Source organism: Homo sapiens, chromosome 12 (genome assembly GCF_000001405.40).
Source record: "Homo sapiens chromosome 12, GRCh38.p14 Primary Assembly".
Classification (NCBI taxonomy): domain Eukaryota; kingdom Metazoa; phylum Chordata; class Mammalia; order Primates; family Hominidae; genus Homo; species Homo sapiens.
The window spans coordinates 6,715,463-6,736,315 of NC_000012.12; the positions used below are offsets into that span (position 1 = coordinate 6,715,463).

The 20,853-nt window shown below is 48.8% G+C and overlaps 1 protein-coding gene across 5 annotated transcripts, besides 3 other annotated features; it reads left to right on the forward strand.

Annotated features, from left to right (window-relative positions):
• Window positions 8,509-8,718: an enhancer, noted in NCBI's record as "active region_5876". NCBI's record gives its function as "activates an Ori minimal core promoter by ATAC-STARR-seq in GM12878 lymphoblastoid cells {active_cell/tissue: GM12878}" and the evidence as "EXISTENCE:reporter gene assay evidence [ECO:0000049][PMID:35858748]".
• Window positions 8,584-16,403, forward strand: COPS7A (COP9 signalosome subunit 7A). 5 transcript variants are annotated; one of them, NM_001164095.3, is made up of 8 exons: window positions 8,584-8,788; window positions 9,152-9,356; window positions 12,464-12,539; window positions 12,761-12,849; window positions 13,785-13,987; window positions 14,940-15,045; window positions 15,207-15,358; window positions 15,538-16,403. In NM_001164095.3, the coding sequence occupies exons 2-8, from the start codon at window positions 9,195-9,197 to the stop codon at window positions 15,575-15,577; spliced, it is 828 nt and encodes a 275-aa protein (NP_001157567.1). In that variant the 5' UTR covers window positions 8,584-8,788; window positions 9,152-9,194; the 3' UTR covers window positions 15,578-16,403. The 5 variants fall into 5 exon arrangements, with proteins under 5 accessions (NP_001157567.1, NP_001157566.1, NP_057403.1 ...); NM_001164094.2 differs by having other exon boundaries at window positions 8,584-8,717; NM_016319.4 differs by having other exon boundaries at window positions 8,584-8,690.
• Window positions 8,749-8,888: an enhancer, noted in NCBI's record as "active region_5877". NCBI's record gives its function as "activates an Ori minimal core promoter by ATAC-STARR-seq in GM12878 lymphoblastoid cells {active_cell/tissue: GM12878}" and the evidence as "EXISTENCE:reporter gene assay evidence [ECO:0000049][PMID:35858748]".
• Window positions 9,019-9,238: an enhancer, noted in NCBI's record as "active region_5878". NCBI's record gives its function as "activates an Ori minimal core promoter by ATAC-STARR-seq in GM12878 lymphoblastoid cells {active_cell/tissue: GM12878}" and the evidence as "EXISTENCE:reporter gene assay evidence [ECO:0000049][PMID:35858748]".

The window sequence follows — 20,853 nt, forward strand, 5'->3', positions numbered from 1 at the left end:
ATGATCTCAGCTGACTGCAAGCTCTGCCTCCCGGGTTCATGCCACGCTCCTGCCACAGCCTCCCAAGTAGCTGGGACTACAGGCACCCACCACCACGCCCGGCTAATTTTTTGTATTTCTAGTAGAGCCGGGGTTTCACCGTGTTAGCCAGGGTGGTCTTGATCTCCTGACCTTGTGATCCACTCACCTCGGCCTCCCAAAGTGCTGGGATTACAGGCGTGAGCCACCGCGCCCGGCCGTTTGTTTGTTTTTTGAGATGGAGTCTCGCTCTTTTTGCCTAAGCTGGATTGTAGTGGCACGATCTCGGCTCACTGCAACCTCGGCCTCCCAGGTTCAAGTGATTCTCCTGCCTCAGCCTCTCCAGTAGCTAGGATTACAGGCACCCGCCACTGAGAGGGGACAGCGTGCTGGCAGTCCTCAGAGCCTTCGCTTGATCTCGGCACCTCCCCTGCCTGGGCTCCCACTTTGGTGGCATTTGAGGAGCCCTTCAGCCCCCCCACTGCACTGTGGGAGCCCCTTTCTGGGCTGGCCAAGGCTGGAGCCCACTCCCTCAGCTTGCAGGGAGGTGTGGAGGGAGAGGCATGAGCGGGAACCGGGGCTGCGTGGGGCGCTTGCGGGCCAGCTGGAGTTCCGGGTGGGTGTGGGCTTGGTGCGCCCTGCACTCGGAGGAGCCGGCCAGCCCTGCCAGCCCCGGGCAATGGGGGACTTAGCACCCGGGCCAGTGGCTGCGGAGGGTGTACTGAGTCCCCCAGCAGTGCTAGCCCACCGGCGCTGCGCTCGATTTCTCGCCGGGCCTTAGCTGCCTTCCCGCGGGGCAGGGCTCGGGACCTGCAGCCCGCCATGCCTGAGCCTCCCACCCCCTCCATGGGCTCCTGTGCAGCCCGAGCCTCCCCGACGAGCGCCGCCCCCTGTCCACGGCGCCCAGTCCCATCGACCACCCAAGGGCTGAGGAATGCGAGCGCACAGCGCGGGACTGGCAGGCAGCTCCACCTGCAGTCTCGGTGCGGGATCCACTAGGTGAAGCCAGCTGGGCTCCTGAGTCTGGTGGGGACGTGGAGAGTCTTTATATCTAGCTCAGGGATTGTAAATACACCAATCAGCACCCTGTGTTTAGCTCAAGGTTTGTGAATGCACCAATCGACACTCTGTATCTAGCTGCTCTGGTGAGGACGTGAAGAACTTTTATGTCTAGCTCAGGGATTGTAAATACACCAATCGGCACTCTATCTAGCTCAAGGTTTGTAAACACACCAATCAGCACCCTGTGTTTAACTCAAGGTTTGTGAATGCACCAATCAACACTCTGTATCTAGCTGCTCTGGTGGGGCCTTGGAGAACCTGTGTGTGGAAACTCTGTATCTAACTAATCTGATGGGGACGTGGAGAACCTTTGTATCTAGCTCAGGGATTGTAAACGCACCAATCAGCGCCCTGACAAAACAGGCCACTCGGCTCTACCAATCAGCAGGATGTGGGTGGGGCCAGATAAGAGAATAAAAGCAGGCTGCCCCAGCCAGCATTAGTAACCTGCTCTAGTCTCCTTACACGGTGGGGAATCTTTGTTTTTTTACTTTTTGCGATAAATCTTGCTATTGCTCACTTTTTGAGTCCATGGTGCTTTTATGAGCTGGAATACTCTCCGGGAAGATCTGCAGCTTCGTTCCTGAGCCAGCGAGACCATGAACCCACCAGAAGGAAAAAACTCCAAAGGCATCTGAACATCAGAAGGGACAGACTCCAGAGACACCACCTTAAGAGCTATAACACTCACCACGAGGGTCTGCTACTTTACTCTTGAAGTCAGTGAGACCAAGAACCCACCAATTCTGGACACACCACCACACCTGGCTAATTTTTTTTTTTTTCTTTGAGACGGAGTTTTGCTCTTGTTGCCTAGGCTGGATTGCAATGGTGTGATCTCAGTTCACTGCAGCCTTGTCTTTCTGGGTTCAAGGAATTCTTCCTCAGTCTCCCAAGTAGCTGGATTACAGGTGTGTGCCACCATGCCAGGCTAAGTTTTTGTATTTTTAGTAGAGACAGGGTTTTGCCATGTTGGCCAGCCTGGTCTGGAACCCCTGACCTCAGGTGATCCACCCGTCTTGGCCTCCCAAAGTGTTGGGATTATAGGTGTGAGCCACCACGCCCAGCCATTTTTACGTTTTTAGTGGAGATAGGGGGGTTTCATAATATTGGTTAGGCTGGTCTCAAACTCTTGACCTCGTGATCAGGAGTGATCATGCACCACCATGCCTGGCTAATTTTATATTTTTAGTAGAGATGGAGTTTCAACATGCTGGTCAGGCTGGTCTCGAACTCCTGATGGGTGATCCCCCTGCCTTGGCCTCCCAAAGTGCTGGGATTACAAGTGTGAGCCACTGTGCTGGGCAATTTTCCTTTCATTCTTTTTCTTTCCTTTTTTTTTTTTTTTTTTTTTTTTTTTGAGACAGGGTCTTGCTGTGTTGCCCAGGCTGATCTTGAATTGCTAGCTTGAGTGGTCCTCCCACCTCAGCCTCCTGATTAGATGGGACTAAAATTTCCCTTTACATTATTGCCCTTTGCTGATTTTGTTATCAAGGTGATTCTGGCCCCATAGAATAAGTTAAGGGGTGCTCTCTCTTCCTATTTTCTGCAATAGTGTGTATAAAATTAATATGATCTGTACTTTGAAAGTTTGGTGCTACTTGCCTTGATGATGTCATTTTTTTAAAATAAAAAATGTTTTGGCAGGCCTCAGTGGTTCACGCCTCTAATCCCAGCACTTTGGAAGGCAGAGGCAGGTGGATCACCTGTCAGGAGTTCCAGACCAGCCTGACCAACATGTTGAAACCCTGTCTCTACTAAAAATACAAAATTAGCCAGGCATGGTGGTACATGCCTGTAATCCCAGCTAGGGAGGCTGAGGCAGGAGACTCACTTGAACCTGGGAGGCAGAGGTTGCAGTGAGCCGAGATCGTGCCCTTTTACTCCAGCCTGGCCAATAAGGGTGAAACTCCATCTCAAAAAAAAAAAAAAAAATTTCTGGCCAGGCATGGTGGCTCACACCTATAATCCCAGCACTTTGGGAGGCCGAGGTGGGTGGATCACCTGAGGTCAGGAGTTTGAGACTAGCCTGACCAACACAGCAAAACCCCGTCTCTACTAAAAATACAAAAATTAGCTGGGGGTGATGGTGGGTGCCTGTAATCCCAGCTACTGGGGGGGCTGAGGCAGGAGGATTGCTTCAACCTGGGAGGCGGAGGTTGCAGTGAGCCGAGATCGTGCCACTGCACTCCAGCCCGGGCAACAGAGTGAGACTCCGTCTCAAAAAAAAAAAAAAAAAAAAATTTCCAGCCAGGCTTGGTGGCTCACGCCTGTAATCCCAGCACTTTGGGAGGCCGAGGTGGGTGGATCACAGGGTCAGGAGTTCGAGACCAGCCTGGCCAATATGGTAAAACCACGTCTCTACTAAAAATACAAAAAAAATTAGCCAGGCATGGTGGCGGGCAACTGTAGTCTCAGCTACTCTGGAGGCTGAGGCAGAAGAATGGTGTGAACCCAGGAGACGGAGCTTGCAGTGAGCCAAGATCGCGCCACTGCACTCCAGCCTGGGCGACAGAGCGAGACTCCGTCTCAAAAAAATAAATACAAAAAGTTAGCCAGGCATGGTGGCGGACGCCTGTAGTCTGAGCTACTCGGGAGGCTGAAGCAGCAGAATCACTTGAACCCAGGAGGCGGAGGTTGCAGCGAGCCTAGAGGATGCCACTGCACTCCAGCCTGGGCGACAGAGCACGACTGTCTCAAAAAAAAAAAAAAAAAAAAAAAGCAAAAAACAAAAAATTTCCCCTTATTTTAAAATAGAGACAGGATCTTGCTATGTTGCCCAGGCTGGTCTTCAACTCCTGAGTTCAAAAGAGCCACCCTCCTCGGCCTCCCAAAGTGCTGGGATTATTTGCGTGAGCCACTGTGCCTGTCTTATGATGTCATTCTTGACTTTCTTTTCTTCTCATACCTCACATCTAATCAATTTGCAAATTCTGTTCACTTTAAGTTAAGTACAGAAACCAGGTCAGGTACTGTGGCTCATGCCTGTAATCCAGCACTTTGGGAGGCTGAGGCAGGTGGATCACCTGAGGTCAAGAGTTTGAGAACAGCCTGGGCAACATAGTGAAACCCCGTCTCTACTAAAAATACGAAAATTAGCCAGATGTGGTGGCACACACCTGTAGTCTCAGCTATTTGGGAGGCTGAGGCAGGAGAATCACTTGAACCCGTGAAGCAGAGGTTGCAGTGAGCTGAGATGGCACCACTGCGCTCCAGCTTGGGAGACAGAACGAGACTCCATCTCAAAAATAAATAAATATACGTACATACATACATACATACATAATCCAGCTATTTCTCTCTGCATCCGCCACTGATATCATGGTCTAAGTTATCACCGTCTCTTGCCTGCATCATTGCTGTGGCCTTCTAATTGGTCTAATTGGTTCTGCCCGTGTAGCCATTTTAATATGTTAAACGTGTGGGTCAGATGGTGTCACTCCTCTGCTCAAATCCTCCACTGGCCGTCCATCTCACTCTAAGCAAGAGCCAAAGTCCCTACAGTCGCCCATAAGACATGATCTGGACACCCTGCTCTCGCTCTACCTTGCCTCCTCTCCCCTTTCTCAATCAGGTCCAGCCACAAGGCCTCCTTGGTGCTCTTCAGACACATCTAGTATGTCCCCATCACGGGGCCTTTGCACTGGTAGTTTGCTCTGCTTGTGAAATTCCCATACAAATCCATCCAACTGGCTCCTTATCACCTTGTCAGGGAGGCCCTCCTAAGGACCTTAAATAACAAATGTCTCCTGCATTCCCCATCCCCCTTACCTTGTTTTTGTTTTTCTTCATATTTATCACCTTGTAATTATTTAAGGCCTGAATTCTACCACAAGAATACAAGTAGCAAGAAGGCAGGGATTTTGTCTACCTCTCCAGGAGCTAGAACAATAATATCTTTTGACTCAATGATAAATATTTTCTTACATGTTTGACTCTTTGGATGTCAGTCAGCTTTTCTAGCTTTATTTCAGTGCATCTTTTCTATAATTAGCATGAAAAACAGCACCTGGCACATACCCTTGTATATAACTGCCACTTAGTAACGAATGAATGAATGTTACCTCCAGGACTTTGCTTATATTTACTTAGTTCCCATCCTCTTCTTGGGACACCTTTATTTTTCTTCCCACTTTCTCCTCTTCTTTTCCCATTTCTACTCCTTTTTCTTATCTTTCTCACATTTCCTCCTGCTCCTCCTCTTCTCTCTCTAATCCTACTTCTTTAGTCCATTTCCTCTCCTGTCTTTCTCCAAACTCTCTTTTATCTCCTTACTCATTGTTCTCTCATATTCTCCTCTCACTCCTTTTTCTCCTATAGAACCATAAGACATCAGAACCCAAATTGGCCTTAACATCTAATCTCTCTTGGCGGATATGGAAGAGGAGATACCACAAAATGGCTTGATTTGCTTTAAGGTCACAGCTGGTTTAAGACCAAATCAGGAGTAAATCTCAGGTTATCTCTTTCTTTGTGCTCTCTTCTCTGTCGCTCTTTCCTTTCTGCTTTTTTCCTGCTTCTCTTTCTTTTTTTAAATGTTATTTATTTATTTATTTTTGAGACAGAATCTTGCTCTGTCACCCAGGCTGGAGTGCAATGGCACAATCTTGGCTCACTGCAACCTCTGCCTCCTGGATTCAAGAGATACTCCTGTTTCAGCCTTCCGAGGAGCTGGGATTACAGGCATGCGCCACCACACCCGGCTAATTTTTGTATTTTTGGTAGAGATGAGATTTTATCATGTTGGCCAGGCTGGTCTCAAACTCCTGATCTCAAGACCTCAAGTGAGCCACCTGCCTTGACCTCCCAAAGTGCTGGGATTACAAGCATGAGCCACTCTGTCTGGCTCATTTCTTTCTTTCTTTCTTTTTTTTTTTTTTTTTTTGAGACGGAGTCTTGCTCCGTTGCCCAGGCGGAAGTGCAGAGACAGGATCTTGGCTCACTGCAACCTCTGTCCCCTTCTCCTTCCTCAGGGTTCAAGCAATTCTCCTGCCTTAGCCTCCTGAGTAGCTCGGATTACAGGGGTCTGCCACCACGCTCTGCTAATTATTATTTTTTTAGTAGAGATGAGGTTTCACCATGTCGGCCAGTCTGGTCTCGAACTCCTGGCCTCAAGCGATCCGCCTACCTTAGCCTCCCAAAGTGCTGGGATTACAGTCCTGAGCCACCACGCCCAGCTCGCTTATCTTTCTCAATACAGTGTTGGAATCAGACAAACTTGCATTTAGATCTCAGTTTCATCACAGACCGGTAACCTTCAACAAACTATTTAACTTCTGTATTCCTAAGTGTCCTCACAGGTGAATTGAGACACTAATATGCACCTCATAGGGTTGCAAAGATCGAATAAAAATTTGAACAATCGGCCGGGTGCGGCGGCTCGCGCCTGTAATCCCAGCACTTTGGGAGACAGAGGCCGGTGGATCACGAGATCAGGAGATCGAGACCATCCTGGCTAGCATGGTGAAACCACAGCTCTACTAAAAATACAAAAATTAGCCGGGCATGGTGGCGCGTCCCTGTAATCCCAGCTACTTGGGAGGCTGAGGCAGGAGAACCGCTTGAACCTGGGAGGTGGAGGTTGCAATGAGCCGAGATTGTGCCGCTGCACTCCAGCCTGGGCCATAGAGCAAGACTGTCTCAAAAAAAAATAAATAAGATAAAAATTTGAACAATCGAGGCTGCAGTGAGCTGTGATCGCATCACTGCACGCCACCCTGGGCAACAGAGTGAAACCATGCCTCTAAAAAAAAAAAAAAAAAAAAAAAAAAAAAAGTAAAAAATGAACAAATAAAGCACTTGGCGCAAAATAGAACAAATACGGGTTATTTTCTCATCCCTTCATCTTACATGTTTTTCCCTTCTCTCTAAAAATGATAAGCTTGGCCGGGCGCAGTGGTTTACGCCTGTAATCCCAGCACTTTGGGAGTCTGAGGCGGGCGGATCACGAGGTCAGGAGATCGAGACCATCCTGGCTAACACGGTGAAACCCCGTCTCTACTAAAAATACAAAAATTAGCCGGGCGTAGTGGCGGGCGCCTGTAGTCCCAGCTATTCGGGAGGCTGAGGCCAGAGAATGGCGTGAACCCGGGAGGCGAAGCTTGCAGTGAGCCGAGATCGCGCCACTGCACTCCAGCCTGGGCGACAGAGCGAGACTCCGTCTCAAATTAAAAAAAAAAAAAAAAGATAAGCTTGGGGCGGGGAGGGGTGGATGCAAAATAATAATAATAATGTTTGGACTCATTAATTCCTTGCTTCCTTCAAACTCTGAATATTTTATTATGCCTTTGATTCCTTCTACTCACTTTTGTTTCACCTTTTCCATTCATTTCTTCTTCTCCTCTTCCTCCTTTCTCTTTCCTTTCTGTGTTTCTGCTTATTTTCTATCACAAACCAAAATATGCGGACCATAAACTGCATCTGCAGTTCCTTTAGCCCTAACAGACTACGAGTCCTATTTCTCTTTATCTTTCTCTTTTTCACTTTCTTGTCTTTCCATTACTTACAAGTTTCTTAATTTTCCTGAGTTCAGTTTTTCCATCTGGAAAGTGGAGATAACAATTACTAGATCGTTGTATCAGATGAATTAAGTAATGCTCATGGCTTAACACAAAGGCCAAGATGTCATTAACTTTACCCTCACTTGACCTTCTGCAAGCCTGTTGTGAAATATAAAACACTATAGAAATGTTAGTTGTTTTTGTTTTTATTAAAGTATCATATTGAAGTAGAAAGATGGTTTTGAGTTTGAAAAGCTCCAGATAAATCCTTGGATTTTTATGAGCCTCAATTTCCTTTTCTGTAAAATGAGAACCACATAGGGTTTTTTCCTCCCCAAGAAATTAAGAGTCCATGTACTGAAAGCATCATTCTACAAGTATTAATACATATGTAGTAATCATGGTAGAGGGTGTCCTGAAGTCACAGGGGAATATTTGTGAGGATTCAACGGAATAAAATTTTAAAAGATGTCTGACCAATAGTAAGCACTCAATACATGTTAGCTTTATTCTCTCTTTTATTTTTCTCGCTTCTTTTCTCCTGCTCTTCAAAAAAGTGAGTGGTTGAACCACCTAGGTGATCTCTGCTGCTAAACTTCTATTATTGATTTTTGTTTGCTTCCTCTCTGCCCCTTGTTTCCTCATCCCGTTTTTTTCCCTCTTCTTCACTCCTTCCGTTACAGCTTTTCTCTTGCCTCAGGTACCCAGTGCAGTCCTGATCTCCAGCTCTCCAGCGGCTTAGAACAGACACAGAATGGGCCGGGACCAGGGACCCACCAGAGACGTCTGTAGTTAATAGCTGGCGCTCTTCCACTAATAAAGTTTTATTGAAATAAAGCATTTAAAAAGGCGCCCGTCATTCTTCCCCCAGCGACCAATCGAAGAGTAGAATGCCTGCGTCCCTCACTGGAGCTTCAGCGGTCGGAACGCGGGGGTGGGGCATGTCCTGCCGAAATTTGCGTCCTTAGAGCGGAAGTACGGCCGGAAGCCCGCCATAGAGTTTAGTGGCCAGAGCGACTCTTCAGGGAGGTGGCAGGAAAGGCTTGGAACAGCTGCCGGAGGTGACGGAGCGGCGGCCCCGCCCGGTGCGCTGGAGGTCGAAGCTTCCAGGTAGCGGCCCGCAGAGCCTGACCCAGGGTACGACGAAGCAGTCGGCGGGAGCCCACGGTCGCTGGGCGGTGTCTTTAAGGGAGGGGGCGGAGCCACGTGTAAGCTTCAATGGGGGTGAGGTCACGTGGTTGTGGGCGCGTGCGGGGCAGCAATGGAGAGCTGAGGGAGCGTCGTCAGGGTGGACACCATGCGACACCCATTTCTCCTTTGCATCCTGTGTCTTGGGGTTCAATGGGGTGCACGTGATGGGGCTTGGGGTTAGGCCCAGGGGAGGGGGTGGGTGTGGCAGCCTTGCGAAGTGGCTGACTTTAGGATTCCTAGATCAGAATTTTAGACCGCTCCATGTCTGATTCCTCACCGCAGAACCGACTTAGTGCCTTTACAATCCAGTCCCTCAGCCTTGTGCTTCCCATCCGACCAGCCATCGGGGACCTCTAGCTTCACATCCTCTTTCCTTGCAGCTCTGGACATCCTGAGCCCAAGTCCCCCACACTCAGTGCAGTGATGAGTGCGGAAGTGAAGGTGACAGGGCAGAACCAGGAGCAATTTCTGCTCCTAGCCAAGTCGGCCAAGGGGGCAGCGCTGGCCACACTCATCCATCAGGTGCTGGAGGCCCCTGGTGTCTACGTGTTTGGAGAACTGCTGGACATGCCCAATGTTAGAGAGGTGGGTTGCTGGCTTGAATAGCCCTCAGAGAAGCGTGGGCAAAGGTTTGAATTTGAGAATGGGTGGGCAGGGCTCATTTTGTGATCCAATAACCATTCAGTTGAACAAGAAAACAGTGATAATTAAATGCCAACTTGCAGAAGTAACCAGTGAACAAGCAAACCAGCTCTCCTTTGGAGATAAGGGATCTGTAAAGCCCACTATTTTTCATTTTAAGCAAAAGAGCATCCTATTCAGAATAGGAAACCTGATTTCCAGCCGGTCTCCACCAGTGTAGTAGCTGTTAATTCTCATGTCACCTTGATCAGGTCACTTTTGTTTTAGGGCTTCAGCTTTCTCTTTTTTTTTTTTTTTTTGAGACGGAGTCTTGCTCTGTCACCCAGGCTGGAGTGCAGTGGCGTGATCTCAGCTGAGTGCAAGCTCTGCCTCCTGGGTTCACGCCATTCTCCTGCCTCAGCCTCCTCAGTAGCTGGGACTACAGGCGCCCGCCACCATGCCCGGCTAACTTTTTTGTATTTTTAGTAGAGATGGGATTTCACTGTGTTAGCCAGGATGATCTCGATCTCCTGACCTCGTGATCCGCCCGCCTTGACCTCCCAAGGTGCTGGGATTACAGGCTTGAGCCACCGCACCTAGCCAACTTTCTCTTTTAAAAATGGAGACAATACTGCCCCTCTCTGTTGTGGGAATAAAGTGAGATTATGGGAAAGTGTGAAGTCTGGTACAAGTGGAGAGTGAACATGTTAAATTAGCATGCCCTTTTCTTCCCTATGTGCAGCATATGCTAATCTATTCAAGTTAGCTAAGGGAGAACGTGTCTTTTTCCCAGAGACACATGGCAAACTGCTAGGAACACAGCAGAGAGAACCGTTCACACAAAAGTGGCAGAGTTAATTTACAATCAGAGGAGGCAGCCTGAGTCCTGACATGCTGACAGTGGTATGTGGGTAAACTGAGCTAAGTTATTTGGGGCCTGTGGTTTAACCTTTTGGATCACTCTGTGATATGGAGAAAACTGGCTGACTTTTCCCTGCTTTCATCTGCAGTGGAACTAAAGAGTATCAATCAAAGTGATGAAAAAGAAGCACTTGGCTGGGTGCGGTGGCTCATGCCTGTAATCCCAGCACTTTGGAAGGCCAAGGCAGGTGGATCACCTGAGGGCAGGAGGTGAAACCGATATGGCAGAATCCTGTCTCTGTTAAAAATACAAACAGGGCTGGGCACGGTGGCTCATGCCTGTAATCCCAGCACTTTGGGAGGCTGAGGTGGGCGGATCATGAGGTCAGGAGATGGAGACCATCCTGGCTAACATGGTGAAACCCCGTCTCTACTAAAAATACAAAAAATTAGCCGGGTGTGGTGGCGGGCGCCTGTAGTCCCAGCTGCTTGGAAGGGTGAGGCTGAGGTTGCAGTGAGTTGAGTTCGAGCCACTGCATTCCAGTCTGGGCGACAGAGCGAGACTCCATCTCAAAAAACAAGACAAAAACGAAAAACAGGGCCAGTCATGGTGGCTCATGCCTCTCATGCCTGTTCTCAGCACTTTGGGAGGCCGAGGTGGGTGGATCATGAGGTCAGGAGTTCAAGACCAGCCTGGCCAAGATGGCAAAACCCCGTCTCTGCTAAAAATACAAAAATTAGCCGGGCGCGGTGGCAGGCGCCTGTAATCCCAGCTACTCGGGAGGCTGAGGCAGGAGAATCACTTGAACCTGGGAGGCAGGAGGTTGCAGTGAGCCGAGATTGCACCACTGCATTCCAGCCTGGGCAACAGAGTGAGACTCTGTCTCAAAAAAAAAAATAAATAAATAAATAAAACAAACAAAAGCTCATGTATCCCAGAACTTAAAGTATAATTTAAAAAAAAAAAAAAGGGAGGCGGAGGTTGCAGTGAGCCGAGGTCGCGCCACTGCACTCCAGCCTGGGTGACAGTGTGAGACACCATCTCAAAGAAAAAGAAAAAGAAGCACTTATTAAGTGGCTCTTTACTACCCTTCTTATGGTCTGGGAATACAAGAAAAGCACCAGGCATGGAGCTTACCCTTCTGAAGCTTGCATTCCAGTTGAAGAGAGAAGATGAATGGATAGAAATCTGAATTATTTATTTATTTAGCAAGTATTTCTTGCGAGGCAATTACTGCATAGCTCTGTGGGATACCTGAGACTGGGTCTATAATCTTGTTGAAAGATATTCTTAGGTAGCAACCTTCTGCAAGGATTGATTGATTAAGTGCCAGAATGAAGCTGAGCACAGTGGCTCACGCCTATAATCCCAGCACTTTGGGAGGCCAAGGCAGGTGGATCACCTGAGGTCAGGAGTTCGAGACCAGCCTGGCCAATGTGGCGAAACCCTGTTTCTACTAAAAATACAAAAATTAGCCTGGTGTGGTGGTGCACGCCTGTAATCCCACCTGCTTGGGAGGCTGAGGCAGGAGAATTGCCTGAACCTGGGAGGCGGAGGTTGCAGTGAGCCAAGATCGCGCCACTGCACTCCAGCCTGGGTAACAGAGGGAGACTCTGTCTCAAAAAAAAAAAAAAAAAAAAGTGCCAGAATGAGTGATCCATGATAGGAGGAGAGGAAATCTGGGTGGACTGGGCTGGGTGATGCAAGACAGTGTCCTGGTCAGGTGTGTCTGAAGCAGAGACCATAAGTTTAGATGTCTTTCTAGGCTGTGCAGCTGTCAGAGATGAGTGAGGCTGAGGCAGGAGTCTGGTGAATTGGGGAGTACTGGAGACTGTCTAGACATATTCCAATTTAGAAACATCAAACACTCTGAGGGCAGGCAACACAATTTGCAGTGTCTGGTGTGTATGTCTGTTTGACTCTGAAAACTGAATGTCTTCAACTCTGAATTTAGGGTAGGAATTGGATGACGTATGGAGCAAGAGGGCATTGTGGTTTGGGAGAATAGTGTAAACAAAAGCCTGAAGGTGGAAATGAGCCCTTCCTATGTGAAGAGTGATCAGAGAGGCAGAGAACTCCTTTTGGTGAGCCAGGAGAGTTAACATTGGCCGGGAAAGATGGGGCCAAAAAGTGGAGTTCCAAACAGGGTAAGGCTGGGAGGGTGGAGAGGGAAGACTTCCCGTCACCTCCTTTTTCCTCATTCTCGCAGCTGGCTGAGAGTGACTTTGCCTCTACCTTCCGGCTGCTCACAGTGTTTGCTTATGGGACATACGCTGACTACTTAGGTAACCAGAGGGGTTGGTGCTCTGGAGTAATGGAGATGGGAGAAGGGCAATTTCTGGAGGGACTCAGAAGAAATTCCTGGGATATCCCACTTAGATCCCTGGATGCATAGGGTCAGGGTCAAGACCTGAATTGGCATTGAAAGTGGGAGGGAAGGGAAGGAGGCTAGGGCTTCCCAGAAAACTGAAATCAGGATTCCTTACACTTTGTCGTTTTTCCCTAGCTGAAGCCCGGAATCTTCCTCCACTAACAGAGGCTCAGAAGAATAAGCTTCGACACCTCTCAGTTGTCACCCTGGCTGCTAAAGTAAAGGTGAGTGGCAGTCCCCCAGTCCTACGGTCTAGAGCATCCTTTTGTATGTCCTTGGGAGTCCACACTAGGACAGCCCTTGTCTAGACCGTGGCTGCTTCCTGCCCTCCCCTCCTCCAAGGTCTGTATATAAACTCCATTAGCAACTGTTTAGGCTGATAGTATTCTTAGTTTTCTGTGTTGTTTTTATTTTTTAATCAACTTAAGTTCTAAATAAACATCTTCTGTGGTTTTGGTCAAAATAGCAACTAGGATGTTGTTCAGGTGTCGTTCAACAATACCTTCTTCCCCACTGCTGGAAACAGGGCTCTCCTGATGAAGTGCTAGGCTTCTCTTTGTTAGGATAAAACATATATATTCTAGAAGTATCTCTGTATTCCTGTTAGGCTGTTTTTTGTCTAATATCACCACCCACCTCCCCAGCCTGCCCAGTCTGCAACCTCGCAATAGTTACTTGACTCTCAGTTGTCCTTGGGATTTAATTTAAACCAGGCTCTCTATTGAGAGATACCTCCAAAGGAATGCCCGTTGCAGGTAGGCAGAGTATAAATGATAAACAGTAACTCCACACCTCTCCCACTTCTGCTTACTCCCCTGTATCAAGCTGATCTTGACTAAGGACTGGGTGATACCCTGAGCTGTGGCTAAAGGAGTGACACCCAGGCAGATGTCATTTTCTCCTTCTGTGGTGTGTCAGGGGTGAGGGTGTTAGGGGAGCATTTTGTATTTTATTTAAGATTGTCCTTCTAATGATGCTGTTTTTGAAGTGGGAATACTTTTATTTATTTTGCTTTAGAACCAGCCTCTTAGAGGAAGTGATTTAGGAATGGGAGTGGAGGGCAGGTGGGCTAGGGCAGGGGGAAAAGGAGGGAAGATTTTTGGAAGCCCTTCTCTACTACGGAGCGTCACAAATCCTGGCCTGATCTCCGCGGCCCCAGTGTATCCCATATGCAGTGTTGCTGGAGGCTCTTGCCCTGCGTAATGTGCGGCAGCTGGAAGACCTTGTGATTGAGGCTGTGTATGCTGACGTGCTTCGTGGCTCCCTGGACCAGCGCAACCAGCGGCTCGAGGTTGACTACAGCATCGGGCGGGACATCCAGCGCCAGGACCTCAGTGCCATTGCCCGAACCCTGCAGGAATGGTGAGAACCGTATCCTGGCACTGTCCCCTTCTCACCCTGAGAAAGAGAAAGGCGCTTCAGGGTGAGAGAGGGCAGGAGCTGGGCTGGTCCGCAGAGGTGGAACCCAAGAGGATGAAGGGAAATGAGTTCATCCCTCCAAAGGCTTCTGGGGAATGCAGGAGTAGGGGAGGCCCTGGGAGGCGGCAGAAGTCAGTGTCCTTGATATAGTAGTTGGGGGAGGAAAAGGGAGTGGTATACTTAAGGGGATCCTAACCAGCAAGGTCGGTCGCCTGTCTTAGGCTAGACTCTGTCGATTGATCTGTAACTACCATTATCCACAGGCCATGACCCTTTTCCTCTTTTTTATTTTCTTTGTGTCCCCATCTAACTTCAGGGTTTCTGTATTCATTAAGTCACCTCTTTTTCTCTTTGGCATCTCCTACCCTATTTTGTTTTCAGTTCCTACTCCCATCTTGCTCATCACTCCAGGCGCTTCCTTATCCCTCTCTGACCACACCGAGTGTCCATCCCACTGCTAGGAGTGTTATCACAGGTGGTTTCTAGGTGCCCTGGTGAGGGTTCCCAACTCAGACTCAAAATGCCAGAAGCTGTGTTCTGGCTCTGTTGCTCAGTTTGGAGTGCAGTGGCACCATCTTGACTCACTGCAGCCTCCAACTTCCAGGGCTCAAGCCACCCTCCACCTCAGTCTCTTGAGTAGCACGGGACTACAGGCTCGTGTCACCACATCCAGCTAGTTTTTGTATTTTTTGTAGAGACGGATTTTTGCCATATCGCTCAGGCTGGTCTTGAACTCCTGAGCTTAAGCAATTCGCCCATCTTGGCCTCCCAAAATGCAGGGATTATGGGGGTGAGCTACTGCGCCCTGCCTCTAGGGTTCTTTTTGAGTCAGTTTTCTGTGAGTCTGTGATCGCAGCCCTTGTCTGCTGACACTTCTCTCCCCTGACTCCTGCAGGTGTGTGGGCTGTGAGGTCGTGCTGTCAGGCATTGAGGAGCAGGTGAGCCGTGCCAACCAACACAAGGAGCAGCAGCTGGGCCTGAAGCAGCAGATTGAGAGTGAGGTGAGCAGTCAGGGGAGCAGGCAGACCCAAACTCCTCCAGCCTGGGCGACTTGTCCTTTGCAGAGAGAATTTGGACAGTGGCTGTAGCAGACAACCAGATGAGCAGGGGCTGGAAGGTTCTGGAACCTTCCTTGCTATCCCCATTCCTTTCATCCTGGTAGGTTGCCAACCTTAAAAAAACCATTAAAGTTACGACGGCAGCAGCAGCCGCAGCCACATCTCAGGACCCTGAGCAACACCTGACTGAGCTGAGGGAACCAGCTCCTGGCACCAACCAGCGCCAGCCCAGCAAGAAAGCCTCAAAGGGCAAGGGGTGAGCCAGGGTAGCAGGAACTGCTCACTTGCAGGGTGCCCTGCTTTTACCCCAGGGACCTCACTGTCCTCATTTCCTTCAGTTATTTGCATGGGAGTAGGGAGTGGGGGAGCCTCCAGGGGTTAGGGGATTCCCTGCATTCTCTCTCTCTCTCTCTTTCTCTCTCTTCTCCTTGCCAGGCTCCGAGGGAGCGCCAAGATTTGGTCCAAGTCGAATTGAAAGGACTGTCGTTTCCTCCCTGGGGATGTGGGGTCCCAGCTGCCTGCCTGCCTCTTAGGAGTCCTCAGAGAGCCTTCTGTGCCCCTGGCCAGCTGATAATCCTAGGTTCATGACCCTTCACCTCCCCTAACCCCAAACATAGATCACACCTTCTCTAGGGAGGAGGCAAATGTAGGTCATGTTTTTGTTGGTACTTTCTGTTTTTTGTGACTTCATGTGTTCCATTGCTCCCCGCTGCCATGCTCTCTCCCTTGTTTCCTTAAGAGCTCAGCATCTGTCCCTGTTCATTACATGTCATTGAGTAGGTGGGTAGCCCTGATGGGGGTCGCTCTGTCTGGAGCATAACCCACAGGCGTTTTTTCTGCCACCCCATCCCTGCATGCCTGATCCCCAGTTCCTATACCCTACCCCTGACCTATTGAGCAGCCTCTGAAGAGCCATAGGGCCCCCACCTTTACTCACACCCTGAGAATTCTGGGAGCCAGTCTGCCATGCCAGGAGTCACTGGACATGTTCATCCTAGAATCCTGTCACACTACAGTCATTTCTTTTCCTCTCTCTGGCCCTTGGGTCCTGGGAATGCTGCTGCTTCAACCCCAGAGCCTAAGAATGGCAGCCGTTTCTTAACATGTTGAGAGATGATTCTTTCTTGGCCCTGGCCATCTCGGGAAGCTTGATGGCAATCCTGGAAGGGTTTAATCTCCTTTTGTGAGTTTGGTGGGGAAGGGAAGGGTATATAGATTGTATTAAAAAAAAAAAGGTATATATGCATATATCTATATATAATATGACGCAGAAATAAATCTATGAGAAATCTATCTACAAACTACCCTGAACTGGGTATCTTCTGTGTTTGATATTTGTGGATGGGAAGAAGACTCATTCCCAATTCACTCAAGCACAGTGCTGGAAAATGAAGAGACCCAGATACTATTTGCTGAGTCCCTGGCTGAGGCCTAGATCCCAAGCTGTATGGCTTTGGACAGGTTGCTCAGCATCCATTCAGAAGTAATGGATATGGCTGGGTGCAGTGGCTCACGACCGTAATCCCAGCATGTTGGGAGGCCAGGGCGGGCGTATCACTTGAGGTCAGGAGTGTGAGACCAACCTGGCCAACATGGTGAAACCCATCTCTACTAAAAATGCAAAAAAATTAGCTGGGTGTGGTGGCTCATGCCCATAATCCCCTAAGGAGGCTGAGGCAGGAGAATCGCTCGAACCTGGAAGGTGGAGGTTGCAGTGAGCCGAGATCATGCACTCCAGCCTGAGTGACAGAGTGAGACTCCATCTCAAAAAAAAAAAAAAGGCCGGGCGCGGTGGCTCACGCCTCTAATCCCAGCACTTTGGGAGGTCAAGGCGGGTGGATCATGAGGTCAGGAGATTGAGACCATCCTGGCTAACACAGTGAAACCCCATCTCTACTAAAAATACAAAAAAAATAGCCGGGCATGGTGGCGAGCACCTGTAGTCCCAGCTACTTGGGAGACTGAGGCAGGAGAATGGTGTGAACCCGGGAGGCGGAGGTTGCAGGGAGCCGAGATCGTGCCACTGCACTCCAATCTGGGCGACAGAATGAGCTCCGTCTCAAAAAAAAAAAAGTAGTGGATACTTACTGAAAGGCACTGGACATACAAATGATGGCCGCTGTTTCTGCTCTCAAGGAGCTTGAGTTCAGACTATGTCCTCCCACCTCATAGAATTATAAGGGAAAGAGTTGGTAATGAACTTGAATTTTCACATCAGAACCACACAGAACTGTCAGATCTGTGGCAAGAAGAAGCCATTGGACTTCTGTCCTCTGTCCACTAGAGCTCTCCAGGGAGTGTGCTAGAAGGATCAGAATCCATGGCCTAGAGTGCTGCCATGGACTCCCTAGATTTGGAGAGCTCTAGTGGACAGTTGAGCCTTCATTTGCATGTGAAGTGGTTGCCTTCTGAGGGTCCTGGGGTTGACAGCTGCTCCCCAGAGCTTGTGATGTTCTTTAGGTGGAGATTTAGGATAGACCACTCTTCATTGGTCCTAAAGCTATCAGTCATGGAATTAGAAAGTGGGAGTAGGGGCTGGGCATGGTGGCTCATGCCTGTAATCCCAGTACTTTGGGAGGCCGAGGCGGGCAGATCACGAGGTCAAGAGATCAAGACCTTTCTGGCCAACATGGTGAAACCCCATCTCTACTAAAAATACAAAAATTAGCCGGGCGTGGTGGTGCTTGCCTGTAATCCCAGCTGCTCGGGAGGCTGAGGCAGGAGAATTGCTCGAACCCAGGAGGCAGAGGTTGCAGTGAGCCAAGATGGCAACACTGCACTCCAGCCTGGCGACACAGCGAAACTCCATCTCAAAAAAAAAAAAAAAAAAAAAAAGGTGGGAGTGGGATCCTGCATTGTTGCATTGTTTTTTGTTTTTTGTTTTTTGTTTTTTGTTTTTGAGACGAAGTTTCGCACTTGTTGCCCAGGCTGGAGTGCAATGGCACAATCTCGGTTCACTGTAACCTCCGTCTCCTGGGTTGAAGTGATTCTCCTGCCTCAGCCTCCCGAGTAGCGGGGATTACAGGCATGTGCCACCATGCCCAGCTAATTTTTGTATTTTTAGTAGAGACAGGGTTTCTCCGTGTTGGTCAGGCTGGTCTCGAACTCCCGATCTCAGGTGATCCGCTTGCCTGAGCCTCCCAAAGTGCTGAGATTACAGGCGTGAGCCACGACGTCCGGCCAGATCCTAGGTTTTTGATTACAAATTGGCTAGGTAAGCTTGTTGTCTTGAGCGGGGCAGTCACTTAACGAAACCAGTCTAGGGAGCCCCATTTCAGGAGTTGAAACTCTTAGCTTCTCAGCTTTTCCCTAGACAAGCAAGACTTGATTCTCAGTCTCTGCCTCTGAAATAAACCCCTTCTTCCCACGCCCGCCAGTGTGTAAAAGCTGCTAACTCCTGGTGCTTTGAGCCTGTCCTGCCACCCCTGCCCGTGCTCCAATTTTCCTTTGAAACTTAGTATCACCTTTACGTGTAAGCTGGTCCCGGCTAATGGTGCCATAACTTCCCAGGCCTCCCTTATTCTAGCCTTTAAGAATGGCTCTCAAGTCCAATGTGGCCTAGGCTGGGACTGCCTGACTTCACCCAAAGAGGGAGGGGAAACCATTCACATCCCAAGGTTATGGGACAAAGACAAATGCCATTTGCCTTTGATTCACAGAAAGAAGGGTCTTGGCTGTGAAGGCATGGGGAAAGGACAGTAGATTATTTGGGTGCTGGTGAGGATCAGTTTTTGACTGCGAAATTGGGTTCAGGATTTAGGGATTCCATGTGTAACCAGGCCCAGGGCACCAGGAGAATCTTCCTAACCAAGAATCGTGTCATCCACTTGCACACTCACGTGCTGATCCTTACTGGATAGTGATCTTGGATGATTTTAGGGCTGGTCACAACAGTTATCTATTACTACGTAATAGATTACCCTAAAACCATGCCTTAAAACAACATATAAATATGATCTGTTTCTGTGGGTAAGGAATCGGCACGGCTGAGCTTAGTTTTCTGCTTAGGTTTCTCACAAGACTGGAGTCAAGGTGTTAGCTAGGGCCATAGTCCTCTCAGGGTTCAACTGGGGAGGATTTGCTTCCCAGCTCGCTCGGTGGTTGTCAGCAGGATTCACTACTTCACAGATGGTTGGACCGGGGACCTCGTTTCCTGATTGACTGTTGGCCAGAGGCCACCGAGGTAGCCTTCTCCATCACAGCAAGAGCCAGAAAGACAACACCAGCAAGATGAAGTCACAGTCTTTTGTTACTTAATCATGGAAGTGACATTACCTCACTTTTACCAGTTACCAGGTCCAGTCTATACTCAAGGGGTGAAGGTTACACAGGGTGTGGCTGTCAGCAAGCAGGAATCATTGGAAACCATGTTAGAAGCTGCCTATCACAGGCAGTTTTTCTGGGCCACCAGCATCAAAATCATCAGGGGAGCTTCTGAAAATGTGCATTCCTGGACCCCACTTCCACCCTTTTCTATTGAATTAGAACCTCCGGGGTGTGAACTGGAAATGTGCCCTCATCACCCTCATTGACTCAGCTCTGCAAGGGCTCTGAAAAGGCTACTGCAGGGCCTTGGAAGACATGTAAGGGGGCCCAAGGTCACCGTCTGAGAGAGAAGGGAAAAGTGAAACTTTTGAGTACAGGGCAAGAGAGCAAGAGAAACTTGTCCTTTGAGGTTCTTAAGTACATGGTTATATATTACAAGTGTGATAAGTACTTTAAGAAGTATTGGGTGACACGAAAGCATTTAACTGGGATCTACATCTTGCTTGGGGTCAGAAAAGCCTCCAAGGACATGACCTTTAAACTGAAACTAGAAGCCCAAGTAGGAATTAGCCTGATGAAAGAGAGGGCGAGCATCTTGGATGGGAAGAATAGTGGGATAAAGGCCTGCAGGCAGAAAGGCTTCATTCTGTGACCCGCTGCCTGTCCCTCAATAGGAAATGCATAATTTGGGGAATGGGGCAAGATAGACAATCCTATACTTACTGTTCATTTATCAGTCAATTGGCAAATACATCTTGTTTTTTGTTTTATTTTGCTTTTGAGACCATGTCTTGCTCTGTCACCCAGGCTGGAGTACAGTGGCACGATCATATGGGAATGGAGAGGGAAGCCCCAGGGGCCCAAAAAATGTCAGAGAGACACGGGAGGAAAATCAAGAGAACAATCCCGTAAAAGTTTATGAACTCCTGGGCTAAGCTCTGAGCTGTGCAAGCGTAGATCTGTCCCTGAACAGCCTACCTAAGGCTTTGTGAACTGAATTACAGAATGGATCACTGTCCAGGTCTGACTGGCCACTGGGTGGCACCCGAGCCGGCCTGATCCAAATAGCACTGCAAACACTTTTAAAATAAAACCGACATTGAAACCACAGTGCCAAAAAGGCAGGTCAAAACTTGCTGCCTGAACCTGATTACCTGCTAAAACAAATTACCATTCAACATGTTCAACATGCTCCTTAAGATTTTAACAAGACCCAGAGCCTCAAACCATAATATTCAAAATATCCAGAGTATGATTTAAGGTGACTCAGCATACAAATAACTCTCCAGGGAAAAGACAGCCAACCCCAAGGAGGCAGAAGTGTTGGAATTTAAAGCAAATGCTGCAAGCAGTCTAACCATGCAGGAAGAAGAAAGGGAGAATGCTTTTGAAACAAATGTAAAGAAAGTCTTAGCAAAGAAATGGAAGATATAAAGAACCAAACAGAAAATAGCAATAACTAGGCCGGATGTGGTGGCTCACGCC

Excerpts from the sequence above, each read along its gene's own strand:
- COPS7A (NM_001164095.3), top strand. The coding sequence starts at position 9,195 with ATGAGTGCGGAAGTGAAGGTGACAGGGCAGAACCAGGAGCAATTTCTG. Across the intron at positions 12,850-13,784 it reads CCCTGGCTGCTAAAGTAAAG|TGTATCCCATATGCAGTGTT; the intron begins GTGAGTGGCAGT and ends CCGCGGCCCCAG. Across the intron at positions 15,359-15,537 it reads AAAGCCTCAAAGGGCAAGGG|GCTCCGAGGGAGCGCCAAGA; the intron begins GTGAGCCAGGGT and ends TCTCCTTGCCAG.